We start from the raw sequence: 19,545 nt of genomic DNA, 5'->3' as shown, positions 1-19,545 counted from the left end.
TTACCTTTGCATTCAAAACTTGACTGTTAGGTACAAGATGCCTCGCTTTTGGCCTATCTTGGCCTTTAACATGCCTTCCTCACTAAGCTTAATTATTTATAGCTTTTGGTTTAAAGCGAGAGATGTGCAATTCTTCCTTTCACTTTAGCATCTAAAGGCCATTGTGGGGTTATTAATTGACCTAATTTTAATATTGTGTCTCAGAGAATACAGAGGCCTGAGGAGGAGAGAGATGAATGGCCAGTTGGTGGAGCAGTCAGAACACATATAACGTTTATCAATTAATGTTCCCATCTTTTATATTGGTTCAGTTTGTGCATGGCACCCCAAAACAATTACAATGGTTACAAAAACAAAAGCAATTGTGGTGATCACAGATCACAGATCACCACAATAGATATAATGGCAAAATTTGGAATGTTATGAGAATTACCAAAATATGACACAGTGACACAAAATGAACACACGCTGTTGGGAAAATGGTGCCAATAGACTTGCTTGAAGCAGGGTTGATGCAAAACTTCAATTTGTACAAAGCACGATATCTGCAAAGAGCAATAAAGCAAAGTGCAGTAAAATGAGGTATGCTTATATAGATATGCACATATACCGAAATATACATTGACTATGCAGCCATTATTTTTCCAATGAATTCTAGCAGTACCATTTTAAAAATAATGTTTTATGTTTTGTTTTTCAAAATTAACTTACGAGGATAGGATGGGTTCTCTATATATTGACTTCCACAATTTTAGTTTTTTTGTTTTTCCAATGCAAGTGATTTATCTTCAAGTAACAACATTTCTGTCCTCTCACATTCTATTGAAGTGTTTTACTTGATTTATTGATATAATGGCCCTTTATGATGTGAAGATTTTAATAGAGTGATGATATAACTAATTTTTATGATCTTGTATAAGATTTTAAATGGTATACAAAAATAGGCTATGAAGTGTAACTTTATCTAAGATAATACCAGTTAAACTACTTTCAATTTTTTCCATTACTATTTCAAAAACTGGGGTTGAATAATAAGACCCCCAAGCCAGGATATTACTTTTAGGGGCATCAGAAAGTAGAATTTAACCTTTCATGGCCTCTTGGTCTTGCTTGAAAGAAAACAATGACCTCTGCAAATTTGAAGGGTTCTCACTAGAATATGAATTTTTCTACCTATCCAGCCCCCCGACCTGTGACAATGCAAAATCTCCACTATCAATTTCAAGATTTCCTTTTTAATATAAATCAGGTTGGTATATTTATGACACACTTTAGGTGTTAGATTCTTAAAACATTATCTTACTTAATGATTCTCTTGGTTACAATAGAGCCATGCCAATTCTAAATTTGTTTCAAAATAAGAAGAGGAAATGTTCCTTCCACTCAATGTTACACACTGTTATAGGTGTCCCACAGAAGGTTTGCTTGGGCACAAGGTATGAGGGTTGAACATGATGGTTTATTCGCAACATGTCTGCAGTAACTCTTTCAGTCTCAGGATGCATAACAGGCCCAGGGTATCTGGTTCAATAAGGCTTTAAATAGAAAATGTAGAAAACACAGAGAGCCAAAGCCTGCTAACTTTTATGCTTTGTTACTGAATCTTCCCTGTTTTTTTTTTTTTTTCCTGTTACGGCCTTATTTTAATATTAAATTTTCTCCCAGAGTCATAGATTCACTAATAGTAGATTTTGTCATTACCTTTCTGGAGTTCTTTTTGCTAATTAGCTTAAAGCTAGTTACTATCCCTTCCATCACCAACATGAACAAAATGAGCTTTCTTTGTCTAGGAGAACCCATGTAATTACTTATACCAAGAGATTAAAAATCATATGGAAGGGGAGGAAATTGCCTTTGTAAAGTGGTTACACCAGTGCTAAGCATTTCCTAGGCACTATGTAAGTACTTGTTATTAAATGATTGGATGTATAAATTAATTCATCAATGAAGTGAATGACATAAGAGATTTACCTGATTGAATCTCCACTCGTAATTCAGCAAGTAACCATAACAATAAAAAATAATCAGGCAAGAGAAATAAATAAAAGGCCTTCAAATAGGAAGAGAGGAAATAAAATTGTCTCTATTTGCAGATGACATGATTGTATGTTTAGAAAACCGCATCATCTCAGCCCAAAATCTCCTTAAGCTGATAAGGAACTTCAACAAAGTCTCAGGATATAAAATCAATGTGCAAAAATCACAAACATTCCTATACACCAATAACAGACAAACAGAGAGCCAAAGCATGAGTGAACTCCCATTCACAATTGCTACAAAAAGAATAAAATACCTAGGAATACAACTGACAAGGGATGTGAAGGACCTCTTCAAGGAGAACTACAAACCACTGCTCAAGGGAATAAAAGAGGACACAAACAAATGGAAAAATTATCCATACTAATGGATAGGAAGAATCAATATAATGAAAAATGGCCACACTGCCCAAAGTAATTTACAGATTCAATGCTATCCCCATCAAGCTACCATTGACTTTCTTCCCAGAATTAGAACAAACTACTTTAAACTTCATATGGAACCAAAAGAGAGCTGTATAGCCAAGGCAATCCTAAGCAAAAAGAACAAAGCTGGAGGCATCATGCTACCTGACTTTAGACTATACTACAAGGCTACAGTAACCAAAACAGCAAGGTACTGGTACCAAAACAGATATATAGACCAACGGAACAGAACAGAGGCCTCAGAAATAACACCACACATCTACAACCAACTGATCTTTGACAAACCTGACCAAAAAAACAATGGGGAAAGGGTTCCCTGCTTAATAAATGGTGTTCGGAAAACTGGCTAGCCATATGCAGAAAACTGAAACTGGAACCCTTCCTTACACTTTATACAAAAATTAACTCAAGATGGATTAAAGACTTAAAATGAGACCTAAAGCCATAAAAACCCTAGAAGAAAACCTAGGCAATACCATTCAGGATATAGGCATGGGCAAAGATTTCATGACTAAAACACCAAAAGTAATTGCAACAAAAGCCAAAATTGACAAATCGGATCTAATTAAACTAAAGAGCTTCTGCACAGCAAAAGAAATTATTATCAGAGTGAACAGGCAACCTACAGAATGGAAGAAAATTTTTGTAATCTATCCATCTGACAAAGGGATAATATCCAGAATCTATAAGGAACTTAAACAAATTTACAAGAAAAAAACAAACAACCTCATCAAAAAATGGGCAAAGGATATGAACAGACACTTCTCAAAAGAAGACATTTATGCAGCCAACAAACATATGAAGAAAAACTCATCATCACTGGTCATCAGAGAAATGCAAATCAAAACCACAGTGAGATATCATCTCATGTCAGTTAGAATGGTGATCATTAAAAAGTCAGGAAAAAACAGATGCTGGAGAGGATATGGAGAAATAGGAATGCTATTACACTGTTGGGAGGGTAAATTAGTTCAATCATTGTGGAAGGCAGTGTGACGATCCCTCAAGGATCTAGAGCCAGAAATACCATTTGACCCAGCAATCCCATTATTGGGTATATACCCAGAGGATTATAAATCATTCTACTATAAAGACAAATGCACATGTATGTTTATTGCAGCACTATTCTCAATAGCAAAGACTTGGAACCAAACCAAATGCCCATCAATGATAGACTGGTTAAAGAAAATATGGCACATATACACCATGGAATACTATGCAGACATGAAAAAGGATGAGTTCATGTTCTTTGCAGGGACGTGGATGAAGCTGGAGACCATCATTCTCAGCAAACTAACACAGGAACAAAAAACCAAACACTGCATGTTCTCACTCATAAGTAGAGTTGAACAATGAGAACACATGGACACAGGGAGGGGAATATCACACACTGGGGCCTCTCAGGGGGTGGGGGGCTAGAGGAGGGATAGCATTAGGAGAAATACCTAATGTAGATGACAGGTTGATGGATGCAGCAGACCATCGTGGCATGTGTATACCTATGTAACAAACCTGCACATTCTGCACACATATCCCAGAACTTAAAGTATAATAAAAAAAAACCCACCATTTTTATATTTTCTCTTAAAATAAAAAACAAATTCCTTGGCAAATCAATCTAATTTGAATTTGATAAATAATTAACACCCCAAGCTTTTTCCCACCCATAGACCCAGACTGCTTTTTTGACATTTGCAACTCTCTTAGGGTAGAATAAAATGCTGGCCCAATGGTTATTATCAGGACTGAAGTTTCAACCTAGAAGCTGGTTAATTCCAGACATAGTCTTCAGTCTATAATTAATAGATCTTATTCATCATGAATATGTCTGATTAGCCAACTACACTGTAAATGCTTTACTGGGAGAGACTAATCGTTTTCTACCACTTGAGTACTAAACTAAATATGCATCGCAATAGTTTGTATATTATTAATAGTTAAAATGCTTTTCTAATTATACAGATAAAACAAAGAATGATAGCTCTTTATACTTAAAATTTGTGTTTTCTACATTTTCTAAGAAAAAACTAACATTAACAGAATATTTGGACTTCACATTTGCCAACGAAATAGTCATTGTATTGATAATGAAATAGTTCTGTTTTCTACCTGTATATTTAAATTCTCAATTATGAGAGTTCATAACAAGAAAGTACACAAATCCTTGATGAAATTTACATGAACAAGTTCCACAAAATATAAATTTCTTTCAAGAAGATTTAGTAATTTCTTTATAATTAGAAATGTAAAAAGATACATGATAAGAATTATAAATTAAAAGAAAAACCTGTAAACAGTCTAAAATTTAGTGGTAAAAATCCTTCTATGTAAAGACGCTAATCTTCATGCATGTATGTCTAAATAAACAGAAGGTGTTTTCCAGGTTTTTAAGATGGATTTCTCTTCAGTTAAAAAAAAAAAAAAGAAAAAAAGGAAATATCCGAAGCTTTCAGGAAGTAAAAAAAGAGTTTAGGCTCATAAAAAAAAGTCTTTGTAGTTCTGCTTAACGTTCATGTCATCAGTTAAATTAGATGTGACAGGACCAGTAAGTCTGGAGATTTTCACTACTAGTGTGATTGCCTTGAAGTATTCTGTCTCCTTCGAATCTCTTTGGCTCCATTTCCCAAGGAAGTTGACTCCATGTTAATCCTGTTGACTCTTGCACAGTGGTTTTAAATAGTCTGTTTCCAGCCGTAGGGAAGGGAATGCTCTCTGAAAACTGCTAGCCCATTTAGCCACCCAGCTGTCAGCCTTTTCCTAAGAAAGAATGCTAATTACAACAAGAGATTGCTTATATCTTAACACCACCGTGAGAGTTGAAAGAGTCAATTACTTATTTTGGGACTGTGTATGAGGTTAAAGAGTATGCCCTCTCAAAGATCTTTAAACTGATAATTGTCACATGCAAAGAAGACATGGTTTGAAATGCTGATGAAGCAAGGCAACATATTTTCATCACCCATAACACAATCACACTTTTAAGCAAGCTGATGTTTGGTTAAATTATAGGGATCTGTACTCCTTATCATAATGCATTTGGTACTCAGAATTTAATTGGTTGATCTTGAATATACTTCTTTAACCAATTTTTAAAATAACTTTATAATAGCACCTAAATGATTTGCCAGGCAAATACATATAGGTCAAGATTTAAAACTTTTCCCTGTTTTTGCTTCAATGATGAAAATATTGGTATTGGCTTGTATGCACGCTTCATTATTTATACAACTTTGACAGTTTTATTTTAAAACATATTTTGAATAAAATGTTTTATTTAAATAGAAAATCCCATTTAAATAAAAGTCCTGAAAGAAATAAACATTATAAATGCATAATATTAAAATAAATTACTATTTAAAAATGTACGTAAGTTTTATTAATAACCTAGATAAAAACTTTAGATGATGAATGACAACAAACTACAATTTAGAAGGAAAGAATTGGTTTTCAAACGTAGAACTCTTCCTTGAGATACATTCAGCTAGTATGAAAACTATACACTTTAAAGCAATACTCTTACTTATGATTTAAATAAATTTAATTTTCATAGTATTACCATGATTATGATTCAGTTAACTGGTTTCTCCACTGAGACTTCCAGTATATATATGAAATAATTAAAGTAAAATAAAATTATTAATATGTTAAATACTAACATGTTTATAGTGCTCTCATCATTGATAAAGCATCTGGTTTCTAACCATTTTCTAATCAAGATCATTATGTTTCTCTTCTTTAATTGTTTTGCTTTCTAATGAAATAAAGTGAAAAAAAACACATTCTCTTGGGATATATTCATAGAAGTCCTTTTAGTAAACAGTAATAATAGCAAGGTAGACTAAACTATTTGTAGGGAAAGGTAAAAGCTGATATTCCTTCCCAGAAACTAGTTTTAAGCTAGGGAGCAATTTGAGATACCATTGGTACATTCCAGAACTCCCCTTGGTCTTAATTAGAACAATTGAAAGAAACTGTTAATTTTGATCAGCTGGTGAAAAGCCCTGCTGTTGCAGTCAGTCATTTCTATAAAGTTCAACTTTCAAGTTCATAAGCAAAAGGGTTAGATTAAAGGATTTTTCCTCCCAGTAAATCATTAGCACAAATGCACCATTTCAAAATTAATACTTTAAGATTGAGCTGTATTTTAAGGTTATAGAGTTATTAGTTTAAAATGAGACACATAGTGTATGAGTAATTCATTTCACAGTGGGTTGCATATTTTTAGTTTCCATATTTAGAGCTAAATCGAATATTTTAATTTGTGGAAAATCCATCTTTTGGAAACATATACTGGTATTCATACTACATATCTATATAATAATCAAAAATAGTGTTTTAGGGGAAAAGTAATGTAGGGAAGCCAGAGAATATGTTAGAAAAGGCTACAGTGAAAGGGGCAAATAAAGTAGGGATATGGTGGGTGAGATGCTTTCAACAGCTTTTCTGTTTGTAACACAAAACCAAACCATGAGGCAGTGGGAAGAGAAAGCTAGCTAAGACAGGGGACACAGTTGCCCACAACACAAGATTTCTCATTGACTGTCACATACAGCAGAGAGGGTGTAAATATGCTTATTTCAGAGATCTCTGATTGATGATGGATAAATTCCATTTCTGGTATCTTGTATTTGTTTTTCCTTTCTGTGTGGATGTGGATTACTTTTGCTAGACTGATGATCCCCAGGTGTGTGTACCTGATGGTACACACCACATGCTCTTTTGAGATTCAGGAAGACAACATTGAAACGTTTTGGTATAGTTTGTGTTTTCTGTCATTTTTTTTTCTGTAGGATTAATAATGTGCATATTGTATTAATATAGTAGTATGTGAATATTTACACACAAATACATGAATATAATAGTGCCCAATATAAAAGATTTGGAGACTACTGATCTATGTAACGATTATGTTTCAATAATCAACAAAGTCCCTTCAAACCAAACATTTATGCTTCTAACTATGTGATGGTGTGACTCTACATATTTGTATTCAGAATAAATATTTAAATAGTTTTATACTTGCATCACATGGAGGGATTGCTTTCTATTTGCTGTTTAGTAACGTCAATTAAATACAAATTTGTACCCATACACCTTCGCTATCTTGCTGGCAATTTGGGTGCATAACTCATTTCAACCTTTGAACACTATGATTCTTGTTTAATCACTATTGAGAAGGAATGTTTCCTATGGGGCTACAGGCATAGCTTCATTTGCATACATAGCTCAGAAACTGTAGAACATTAGGGCAGTTGTTAAAAATCCATTAGCATCTCTATAAGCATCCCTAAATGGTAGTAAGGAAGAGACAACATGAAAAGTGGCAGCTGCTGGATGAATCCACTTGCAGAGGCTGAGTGGAACCAGAGGCCACATATCAGAAGAAAGTGTGCAAAATGACTCAACTCTAATCTGCAGTAGCAAAGACTGTACCCATGGAAGCCAGCCCCAGATTATACTTCAACCAATATACATACATTACTTTTTCAGTCAGGGCCATACTGGTATAACTATAAGAATAGACTATCTCCTCTCTATTCCCTGGTATGGTTTCCATGTGTCCCCACCCAAATCTCATCTTGAATTGTAATCCCTGTAATCCCCACCTGTCAAGGGCAGGATCCAGTGAGAGGTGATTGGATCATGGATGTGGTTTCCCCCATGCTGTTCTCGTGGTAGTGAGTTCCCATGAGATCTCATGGTTTTGTAAGGCAGTTTGCTCTGCTCTTGCAAGCTCTCTCTCGACTGCCTCCATGTAAGATGTGCCTCTTCCATTTCCACCATGTTCGTAAGTTTCCTGAGGCCTCCAAAACTGTGAGTCAATTAAACCTCTCTTCTTTATAAATTACCCAGTCTTAGGTATGTCTTTATAGCAGTGTGAAAATGGACTAATACATTCTTCAAGTGGAGACTTAGGAGAACATAGGCTTTTGTTTAGTAAATTAATGACTTTTTGGAATGGTCAGTTCACAGGTTATCTATCTGCCCTTAAGGGAATAGCTGCTAAAGTATATGTAACCCATTTTGCTTTCTAGTGGATAAAAAGATTTAAACCATAGCAACAGGAATAATCTGGGGAGATTATTCGATAATGCTGGGTACTAAATCATATTCTCAGATTCCAAGATCTCTATGTAGTACAGGAATCTGTCCTTTGAGAAACCAACTCAGAAAATGTGCACACAATGATTCAAAAAGCAGTAACAAAAATACTTTTCTCCAATTCCTTATTCGAACCTTTAGGAAGAGATATATTTTACAATTCTGAATTTTAGAAAGATAGATTATGCATATACCATATATTTCTTAATATACCCAGCAGATTCTAGGGGAGCATGCCAATATTAATCAGAGTTCAGTTGAGAAAAAAGAAATCTCAGCTAAGTAAAAGAAGCCAGATAGAGAAAGTCAAATACCACACGATTGCATTTATCTGTGGAATCTAAAACGGTCAATGGTGGTTGCTAGGGAGAGGGGAAGGGGGAAAGGGAGAGATGTTGTCAAAGGGTACAACATTTCACTTATGCAAGATGAATAAATTCTGGGGATCTAATTTGCAGGATTGTGAGTGCTGTGGTTTGAATGTGTCTCCTTCAAAATTCAGGTATTGAAATTTAATGGCCTGTGTCACAGTATGAAGAGGCGAAGCCCTTAAAAGTAATTAGGTCATGAGGGTTCCTCTCTTAAGACCCCTATAAAAGATGTTTCACACACTGTCTGGCTTTCTTGCCGTTCTGCCTTCCATCATGTAAGGACACAGCATTCCTGTCCTTCCAGGAGTGCAGCAACAAAGTGCCACCTTGGAAGCAGAGAGCAGCCCTCACCAAACAACTGAACCTACCGGCACCTTTATCTTGGACTTTCCACTCCAGAATTATGAGAAATAAATTTCTATTCTTTATAAATTATCCTGTCTTAGGTATTTTATTAGAATAGTACAAATAAACTAAGACAGTGACTATAGTTAACAATACTGTATTGTATGCTTAAAATTTGATAAGAGGATAGATCTTAAATATTTTTACTGCACAAAATTAAAAAAGAAAGACAATAGTAACTATGTGAGGTGATGGATATGTTCATTAACTTCATTGTGGTGATCATTTCACAATGTGTGCAGATATCAAAACATCAAGTTGTATACCTTAAATGTGTACAATTTCTATTTGCCACATACCTCAATAAAGCTGAAAAAAGAGAAATCTCACTAAAGAAAGTTTAACATAGAGTGGTTACACAGATGTTGGCGATATGAAAGCATAAAGAAGAAAGCATTGAGAAACTCAGAGAAAATAATAGCAAGAAGAGTTTATCAGAATATAAAATTTGGAAAAGGGTACTGCTCAACTGAAGTTATGATACTGATTCTAGAGGTACCAAAACTACCTGGAAACGGAAATGAGCTGTTAAAATGTTTTTGTTAAGAAAATTAACAAATATAAAGAAGCAAGACCCTCTTCCCTCCTTCTGCTTGCTTTTTATGCCATGTACTGGTACAAATATAACTGGAAACCAGTTGGCAGAGGAGAAATGTAGTTTGGATAAGTCTAAGTCCCAGCTTTTCAGAGCCAATTATGGAAGGACGGATGGATCAGAATTATGAGACAACAGCTTACCAACAGGTTAATATGTCCATAACAAAAATAATGAATATTGACCCTAAGTAGAAACAGTAAATAAATAGTTTACTTCTGTTCAGTTGAGGTTTTGCAGCCAAATGAGTTGCCTGCAAATTTTTAAGAATTGGAGATTTTGGGATTTTGAAGTTATGAATAAACTGGTTATGAATAAACTTATACTGTGCTGTATTCGAAGAAAACACCTTATATGCTCTCCGAGTGTTCTTGAAAGATTTTCTCTCTGTAAGCATTTTGCTTGAATCACTGTGAACATAGAAAGATAGAGAGACTTCTCTGAGAATAACTAGGCACACGCAGATCTTATCTGTCCTCTTCCTCTTGAGTGCAAGCTTGCCTGCAGAAAGATGAGTTACCTTCTGCTTTAGCAGATCATAAATAGAACCTGCACAGGCCCCTTCTATGTGGGAAGGCCTGTGCAAGGTCAGCTTTACCTGTGACTGGAATTTAGTAGGGTAAGCCCATACAGCAAAGAGATTAAAAGCCACATTCTCTAATTTGGCCTTTAACAGTCATAAAGATAATATTTTGACTTCTTTCTTTATTCAGTGAAGGTAGAAAAGAGTGGTACAAATATTTGGGGATCCCTAGAATCACTTATTGTTTAACATCATAACGTAAATTTTAAAATTCATGAATAGAAAAGGAACTTGTGCAAATATTGTCTACTTCTTAATGGCATCAGCCTATACTATCTTGGAACATTATTGATCCTTGGGAGATGTATGCAATAATGTTCTGTCCTATAAGTAAAATAGTCAAAGCATGAGGTGTGTTGAAATCCAATCTAGTTGGTCCTTACTCACTCTGGATTTTCTTTCAAAACTTGGAGCACAAAAAGCTCTTTCCATCTTCTATGTTTAGCATATGCTGTTATAATCAGCATTTATTGTGTTGCTGAAATCCTGAGATAATTTCTAGAGTAAATGACTCACACTTGAGAAATGTGCAAATGGAATAGGAGAGAGGGATCCAGGATGAGGCCCTAACCTGTGAGCAGGGTGAAATTTAATGCAAGAACATTTAGAAGCACTTAGGTGGCACTGAAAATCTGAAAGCAAATCAAGGTGATTAGGAACTAAAAGTACATGGGAAAATAATGCCTTTGTGAAGAGTAGCTTGACCTTTTACTTGGTAGACCTTTGGACTCTGAAGGAAAATCTATTTATATTAAACTTGTACCTTTGACCAGATTTAGCCATTCACCATGTTTGCTAAAATTCTATTTATAAAGCTCCCTAAACCTTGAATTTAAAAGCTGTGCATGTATTTGTCCAGCCAAGGTGCATATCTTGGGTTAACTGAAGGAATGATTAATAATAAAGTAGTATAGTTTTTCACATCTATATTCTTTATCTGATGCCAGTGGAAAGTAACATCTTTTTGGAGTCTCGAGCTTGGGTTTCCAGGTGATGACAAGAAATACAATGAGTACTAACATATAATAAAATTGACTGTAATAGGTGGGATAAAAGCACAGACCAGTGAAGGAATGAAGATTGACAATTCAATTTTCCTATGCTAGAAGATGCTGACATAAGAACCAGATGGGGTGGATTTCCTAATTAATGAAATTAATTATATAAAACCTGAGGCTGCTAAATACAAATGCACATTCTGAGTTCCCCCAAATCCTTGGACCTGCACAGAGTTTTGTTTTGTTTTCTTTTTGTTTTTTGAGAGGGAGTTTCTCTCTTGTCACCCAGGCTGGAGTGCAATGACACAGTCTCGGCTCACTGCAATCTCCACCTCCCGGGTTCAAGTGATTCTCCTGCCTCGGTCTCCTGAGTAGTTGGGATTACAGGCACCCGCCACCACGCCTGTCTAATTTTTGTGTTTTTAGTAGATACAGGGTTTCACCATGTTGGCCAGTCTGGTCTCAAACTCTTGACCTCAGGTGATCTTCCCACCTCAGCCTCCCAAAGTGCTGAGATTACAGGAATGAGCCACCATGCCCAGCCCTGCACAGGTATTTTTAAGGAGTACAGATACCGTGTATTGAGAGGATTTTGTTAAACCCATAGGCGATTTAAGAAAACTGAAGCTACTTTCTAATTATTAGAAAGACAGTCTCCAATTCAAATAGGTCCACCTGCAACCAAACAGAAGAAGACAAAATTAAATGAAGGAGAAATTAAAGAGTAATACAAAGAGACCAGGGAGGCAGAGTTGGGGGAAAGAAAAAGTTTCCAGAGAGTCCATATCCAAGGTGAACCAGAGCATATCCCTGAGCACTCCTTGCTCTTCTTGAGTTCCCTCATCTTCAAGTTTATTATGAAGTAATTGATCTGTTTGTTCACACATCTCTTTACTATCCTTTTGTTACAACCCACTTTCCCCAATAGGAAATTCAGTCTCAGAACCTCTACAAGAGGGAGGCTGAAATCTCATAATTAAAGAGTATCATGGTTAATGTCTATTTTTATGTTTGAAATAAATGTCATCAAAAATACATACTTTTAAATTTAATGCAATCTTCCTGTTTTTTAAAGCTCCTCAAGCCACTTAGAAGTCAAAACATTTATTATGTTATTGAATGAATAAGAATTTCTCACTTGATCATAAACTTATATCTGTTTCTATTTCTAATATAAGTAGCATTGTCAGTGTCCTTGGGTCTTCAGAAAGAAAAAGAAAGATAAAAGAATATAGACCTTGAATCCAGAGAGTTGAAATATAAACTCCAGACAAAGATAAAAGCAGCAGTGTTGTTGGCTATTTGATTCAAAGTTATTGGAACAACATTCTTCTGTCAGTGTATAAATTCCAGAGTCATGTTTGTATTATAAGAGTGGAAATCATATTGCACAAATTAAATTGTTTTGTATGTGTACATAACATCATTGCCTACTATGGCTATCTCTGTAGGAGTTGGAGTGGCTGATTTCCTATAGAGGAAAGAGATGTTCAAACACCTTATTTCATAAATGTTTACAAATATGTATCAATCAAAATTTTTTAAAAATAATAAAAAATAAGTGAAAATCTTTACCGCTGAATAGTGGCTACAGCAAGAATATAAAGAATTGTGCTCTTGCTAGCCAATCTGCTTCAAGGTCCCTGTATATCTCCTCCCTACAAAAAAAGAAAAAAAAGTAAAAGGAAAAAAAAAACAGTTGTTCTATTTCTTTCCATTACTTCCTGCTAAAGTAAACTGAATGCGAATTGGTTTGAATTTTGACTATCTAATACTAGTTAGATATTTTGAAAATCTGATACTAGCTAGATATTTTGAAAATTTAACACTAGTTAGATATTTTGAATATCTAATATTTAAAATGGGGAGCAGGACACACTTATCACAGAAAAATTTTTCTTTGGTGATTAGACTAATATTAGAAAATTATGCAGGCCCTTGTATATTTCTCTTGGAAAACTCATTTATTTTACTGTCTTTTGTACTCTACACTACTGCCAAACTACCACATCATGTTCTTCTGCTTTTTTTTTTTTTTGCACCTACATGCTTTGTGAGATTCTGTCTAAAAAATTCTTTCTTTGAATCTTCACATGGCTAATTTATCTGTGTGATCTAGCTCCAAAAGTTTTTTCTATCTCCCACATTTTTTTTTTACCTTCCTCATGTTGTGCTATAATAACCCGTGCTTCTCTATGTATAGCTGTATAGCACTGACTTCTGGTTTGTGCCCTAATGTGGAAAGAGATTGGAATTTATCACTCCTTTTCTTGCAACAAGAAAAAAATGGACAAAAGGAAAATCAATGACTTTTGTTGAATCTGTCAATGAGATGACATTATGAGGCAAATTGCCATCTCCAAATCTGGAGAGACAGGCTGATACAGAGAGTCACAGCTGATATGCTTGTTCATAGCATAAGTTGTTGAAGCCGTATCCTGCTAGAAACACTGAAATGGTCATTTTCACAAACTGTTGGAGTCCAAATGTGTGTTTGTGTAGACTAGCATGAGAGTATAAAATTTCTCTGGGCCACAGTTTTAGGGGAGCCACCATATTTTCATAGATTTTACCTCTAGGAAAAACTTCTCCCCCTGCAAGTTCTCGTGGGGAAAATCGGAAGAGATGCCCTCAGGATTCTGGCAGGGGGTGGGAGAAGTAATCATAAAACACACTCACGACCTTCTCCATAGAAAAGGCCTATATTCTAGCAGAAATGACTTTACCAAAATCTTATGCCATTTGGGGAAGGACATTCCTCTTGCCATTAGAACCTCTTGTTGCCTTGCTATCTCACCTAAGGAGTAAATAAACAAATATCAAACAACAACAACAACAAAAAATACTCAAAAAGGATTGGGGAATCAAGGAAATAGATTGGGGACACTGCAATAAGAGAAGGAGAAAAAGAAGTTGTATCACTAAAAATATACTTGTGAATGTCACAGCCCCAAGACATAAGTTCACCAAAGGTGGTAATATTCAATTGGAAAATTATAGGACTCTGTTCTTCACACATAAACAATGCTTGAGTATGACAGGGGATTAGAGATATAATAGCTGCAAAATATAAATGCTTTCTGAAGAACACACAGGGAAGCTCAAACTCAAGAGAAAAGACAAAAATTAAGGAACTAGAGAATTTTGAAGCTTCTGGCACCTATAGCTAGAGTAAACATTAAACGCAGCCAAGTCTTAGCCCATACATCTCGCTAAACATCTCTTTATGCCCTCATATTATGCAATGCATATGTCCAATTTTCAACCAAAAGTGACAAAACATGCCAAAAGGCAAGTAAATAAAAGCAGTCTAAAGAGATAAAGTAATAATCAGAAATAGACTCAGACATAAATGTTCAAATTATTATATAGGAAATTTAAAATAACCATGACTAATACAAGCTATTTCCTATCCGAAATGCTTGATACCCAAAGTGTTTTGGAGTTTTTCAGATTTTAAAATATTTGCATTATACATAAGGAGATGCCTTGGGGGATGGGACCCAAGTCTAAACATGAAGTTGATTTACTTTTCATATACACCTTATACACATTGCCTGAAGGTAATTTTTCATGATGTTTTAAATAATTTTGTACATGAAAGTTTTTATGCCTTTTGACTGTGATCCAATACAGATAATTTTGGATTTTAGATTTTTGGATCAGGGTTCAACCTGTATGTCAAGGCTCTAATGCAAATAGCTAGACAGCAAGCAAGAAGGATACTCAATGTAAGCAGAGACATGGAGACACTACAAAAAAACTCATGTTGTAACACGTATCGAAGCTTATTTTTACTAACAAGCGATATTCCCTTGTATGGAACTTTGTTAACCCATTCATCAGTTGATGGAAATTGGGTTGTTTTCCAGTTTTAAGCTATTATGTATAATGCTACTATAAACATTTGTGTACAAGTTTTTATGTAGATGTATATTTATATTTCTTTTGGGTGTGCACTTAAGAGTAGAACTGCTAGATAATGTGCCAACTCAATGTTTAACATTCTAAAAAGCTATTAAATTGTTTTTTCAAAGCAATTGCATCATTTTACATACCCACCAGCAATATATGAAAGTTCTGTTTTTTCCCCATCTTTGCCAATGCTTGTTATTATGTATATTTTTAAGTACAGCCATCCTATGGGTATGAAAGTGATATCTCATCATGGTTTTGATTTGCTAGATCATTGCTTTAGAGAAATGTCTATTAAAACTACTTGCCCATTAAAAAAAACATAAATACGAAACATGAGAAACCAGACACTGTAACAGAAATGAAGAATGTCTTTAGACTGAACAACATACTTGATACTGTTGAGGGAGAACTTTAAAGGGTACAAGAAACCTCCCTAACTAAAAAACAAGAGAAAAAAGGGAAAAACAAAACAGCACAGAACAGGTAACCACTGCAGGATAATTTTAAAAGGTATAACAATGATGTAACTGGAATGTCAGAAGAAAAAAAAGGCAAAAGAAATATTTGAATAAATAAAGATCAAACCTTTGCCATCATAATAACAGACTTCAGGACCCTTCCAAGATCCAGAAAGCTTAGAGAACACCAAGAGTGGGATACATACCAAAACAAATAAACAAACCCCACCACCAACAGCTATTATAACAACTACAACAACATCAAACGTACACTTATCTATCACGTAGGAACTGAAGAAAGCCGAAGACAGAAAAATCTTGATTAAAGCCCTGGGGCTAGGAGTGTGGGAGGGAAATGACTTGTCTAAACTGGAAAAAGGATACAAGTTAGAGTGAACTTTTTATCAGAAACCATCAAGCAAAAAGAGAGTAGAATGAAATATTTAAAGTATTCAAAGAAAGTCAACTGCCAACGCAGACTTCTGTATCCCGTAAAATTATGCTTCAAAAGTGAAGGACTTTCTAAGACAACAAAAAACTAAAGGTAATTCACTGCCTGCATACCAGCCCCAAAAGAAATGTTCAAAGAAGTTTTTCAGGCAGAAGCAAAATAATATAAATCAGCAGCTTCGATGTACATTAAAAAGAAGAAGAAAAGAAATAAATGAAAGCAAAGTGAAATATATTACTTTTCTTACTCTGACCCAATCTAAAATATAACTAGTTAAAGTCCTAATAGTAATATTTTAGGTTATCATAGTATATGAATAAGTAGAAAGAATGACAGCAATGTCACCAGGAATGGGAGGAAAGAATTAAGAATACTTTTATAAGATACATGTACTATGCATGAAGTGTCGTAGTATTATTTTAAGATGGACTTAGATTAGTTAAAAATGCACAGTGTAAACTCTAGGAAAACTGCTAATTTTTTTTGTAAGAAGTATAACTGAAAAAGTAAGTGAGCTGATCAAATTGAACGACATAAAATTTTCAATTAAAACCAGAAAAGGAAAAGAAGGAAATAGCAAGGACAAAGAAGAAACACAAGAAACAGAAAACATTTAAAACATGCTAAATACTAGTCCAACTACATCACTTTAAATGTAAATTGTCTAAATAACCAATTAAAATATGATTGTCAGAGTGTATACAAAAATCAATACCCGGCTGTATGTTGTCCGCTGTGAAGATCGAATTGGGCCATGACAAAAGAAAATCTCTTTGAAAAATGTGGTTGCTCTCTCCTTTTGTAACCTAGTAAAAATGTGGAGAGATCAGTTAACGGGAAATTACATGTGTATCTTTAAATTTATTATATTACTTTTTTTAGGAATTGCTTTGATTGTGGTTATTTATTTCAAGAATATCAGTAGAGAGCCACGGTTTCTAAAATGTGTGCTTTGGTAAAAACAAAGCAAATCTCTAGTTATTTTATATTCATAAAGATTTGGTCATTAAATGCTATACTGTTTATCAATGGTAGTAATGAAAGGACATTAGCTTTCTGAGAAACAATTAAATAAAATGTTATTTACTTGGTTTCAAACTCATAGTTGATTTCTTAAGTGTCCTCAAATGCATACTTCTTCCAGCATTCCTGGATTTTGACAGTTCCTAGATATGTGCCCATCCATCTTGGTAAACGTTGCCTCCAGGTTATCAGTTAAAAGTGAGATCTTAGAATGTCTTCATTTTAAAGTTCTGTCTGCAGTGGGACAGTCACACACAAGTTTAATCGACTGAATTATAGAGTGCACCTAGGGAAGTCTACTCAATCTAGGTTAAATACATTAGATAATATCTGCTTCATACCACACAATGCCTTCCATTCCCAAGCCCCTATAGAATGAGAGCCATCTTTTACTCATTACACTTTTTCACATTCAACACTCAATATCTTTATCATATAATCATACAATGGCAATCATATTGTTTGTAGAAGTCACCTGTATTTCTTTGCTTGTCTTGATGCGTGTTTGCTTGTTGGATAGCACCAACAGTTTCTCTGAGCTCTTTCTATTAACACCTGCTTCTGGACTGGATTATCTCCTGTAATGTAAGAAAATTACTAAAAATGCTCTTTTGATAACACAGAAGGTGCATACTATTTAACAAAGAATGGTGGGAGGGTAGCTAATATTAAATAAATTTTGTGATAAGCTTTGAGTGTTTATTGAAAAACAATCATTATTTTCTCCTATTTGAATTTTTTAATCTACACTTTGTCTTAAAACATTCTATTGAAATATATTTATCTTGGGAGACCTGCTATAAAATAAGGATTATTAAGTAGATTGATTACTTTCCAGCAATAAAAGCAACACCATGACCATTTATATTTTCTCTTATTGATTTTTAAGCAGCAGAGCCTTATAGAGGAGTATTGTAACTCAGTTAATTGAATGAATTTTCATGGGAATTTCAAGTGCTCTCAAATAAACTAATTGTATTTTTACTAGTGTATGTAAAAATATACTTTTCGTAGCTACCACTATTTGTATTCACAGGACAGTATTAATAATAACCTGAGCCCATAAGACAATGTAGTTTCTTAAATATCTTCTCTTGAGCTAGACTAAAAAAGGTTATAATCTTCTGAATTGCAATCCTAATATGAATCTAATTTCTTTCTCAAGTAGAGTAATTTTATATAAACCCAGCCTAGTGAGTCACTGGAAATTGACATTCTTCCCTGTAATTAAGTAACAAAGAAAAATTCCTATTCAACATCAGGTCTCAGGCCAATAGAAAGTAAATAATATGAACCTCTGATCACTAACAGGCAATATTATGGGGTAATAGCAAAGGCAAATTCTTTTGCAACTGACAGGTGACTGAAAAGGCTAGAAATATAGATTTATTTTGTGTTTCTGCTTACATTATAATATTTACATGCCAAAGGATAGTGAAAAAAGTCATTGCACATGTAATGAAATTTAGGAGAGGTACTGACATATATAAATCAGAGACCTTGACGTATCTATTGTTCAAGACAAGGATGACTATAATGTGACAAAAATGGCAAAAAAAGTTGTATCAATTAAATTTTGTCTCAAGTGGTGATTTTAAAATAAAATATATCATATTTGTATAGAATGAATTATTTAATATTATTTTCTCCAGTAAAGTAGTTTCTTTTTGCCAAAGCTAATTTATATTTCCAGAATAAAGTAGATAAATTAAAAGCTTACTTGCATAATATTTAGGCAACAGCTTTTTGAAGCATTTCCTTATGAATGTTCTTGTAACATTAGCATGTAGAGAAGCAGAGGGCAGTGGGGGAAAAACAGGAATCTTATATGTGGTCTAAAAGGCACTTCCATTTCCCACTTTTCCCCCTAGTAAATAAAGACAGGATGAACAGCTAAAATTACTAATTGGTTTACTGATCAGTTGTACTTTGTTCGATTGATTTGCAATTAATTCTGGTTTGTGGTGCGCTGAAGAAGAAGGTTGGCGCCAACCTTTGAGGCAGCTGATACGTAATACCCTGCTGGAGTCTGCAGGGCAGGGTATTCATACTTGGTTTAGAGACAGCTCCTAGAGCCTCTCATGAAGAATTGCTCTGCTCCATGATCTTTCGAGGGAGGCTGAGCTCATATTATTTGTTTCAAGAAATAGTAAAATGCAGTCTTCAGTTTGAGTTTTAA

The 19,545-nt window shown here is 34.5% G+C and overlaps 1 long non-coding RNA gene across 1 annotated transcript; it reads right to left on the bottom strand.

The window, feature by feature from the left end:
* Nucleotides 1-416: 416 nt before the first annotated feature.
* On the bottom strand, nucleotides 417-19,217 carry LOC105378962 (uncharacterized). The gene is made up of 5 exons (XR_001742509.1): nucleotides 19,087-19,217; nucleotides 17,842-17,944; nucleotides 17,431-17,600; nucleotides 17,059-17,149; nucleotides 417-545 (listed from the first exon to the last, which is right to left on the bottom strand). It is a non-coding gene; the product is annotated as an uncharacterized LOC105378962 (long non-coding RNA).
* Between the last annotated feature and the right edge of the window lie 328 nt (nucleotides 19,218-19,545).

The sequence above is a fragment of the Homo sapiens genome, chromosome 5, assembly GCF_000001405.40.
Source record: "Homo sapiens chromosome 5, GRCh38.p14 Primary Assembly".
Classification (NCBI taxonomy): Eukaryota; Metazoa; Chordata; class Mammalia; order Primates; family Hominidae; genus Homo; species Homo sapiens.
This window is presented reverse-complemented; position numbering and strand designations above follow the sequence as displayed.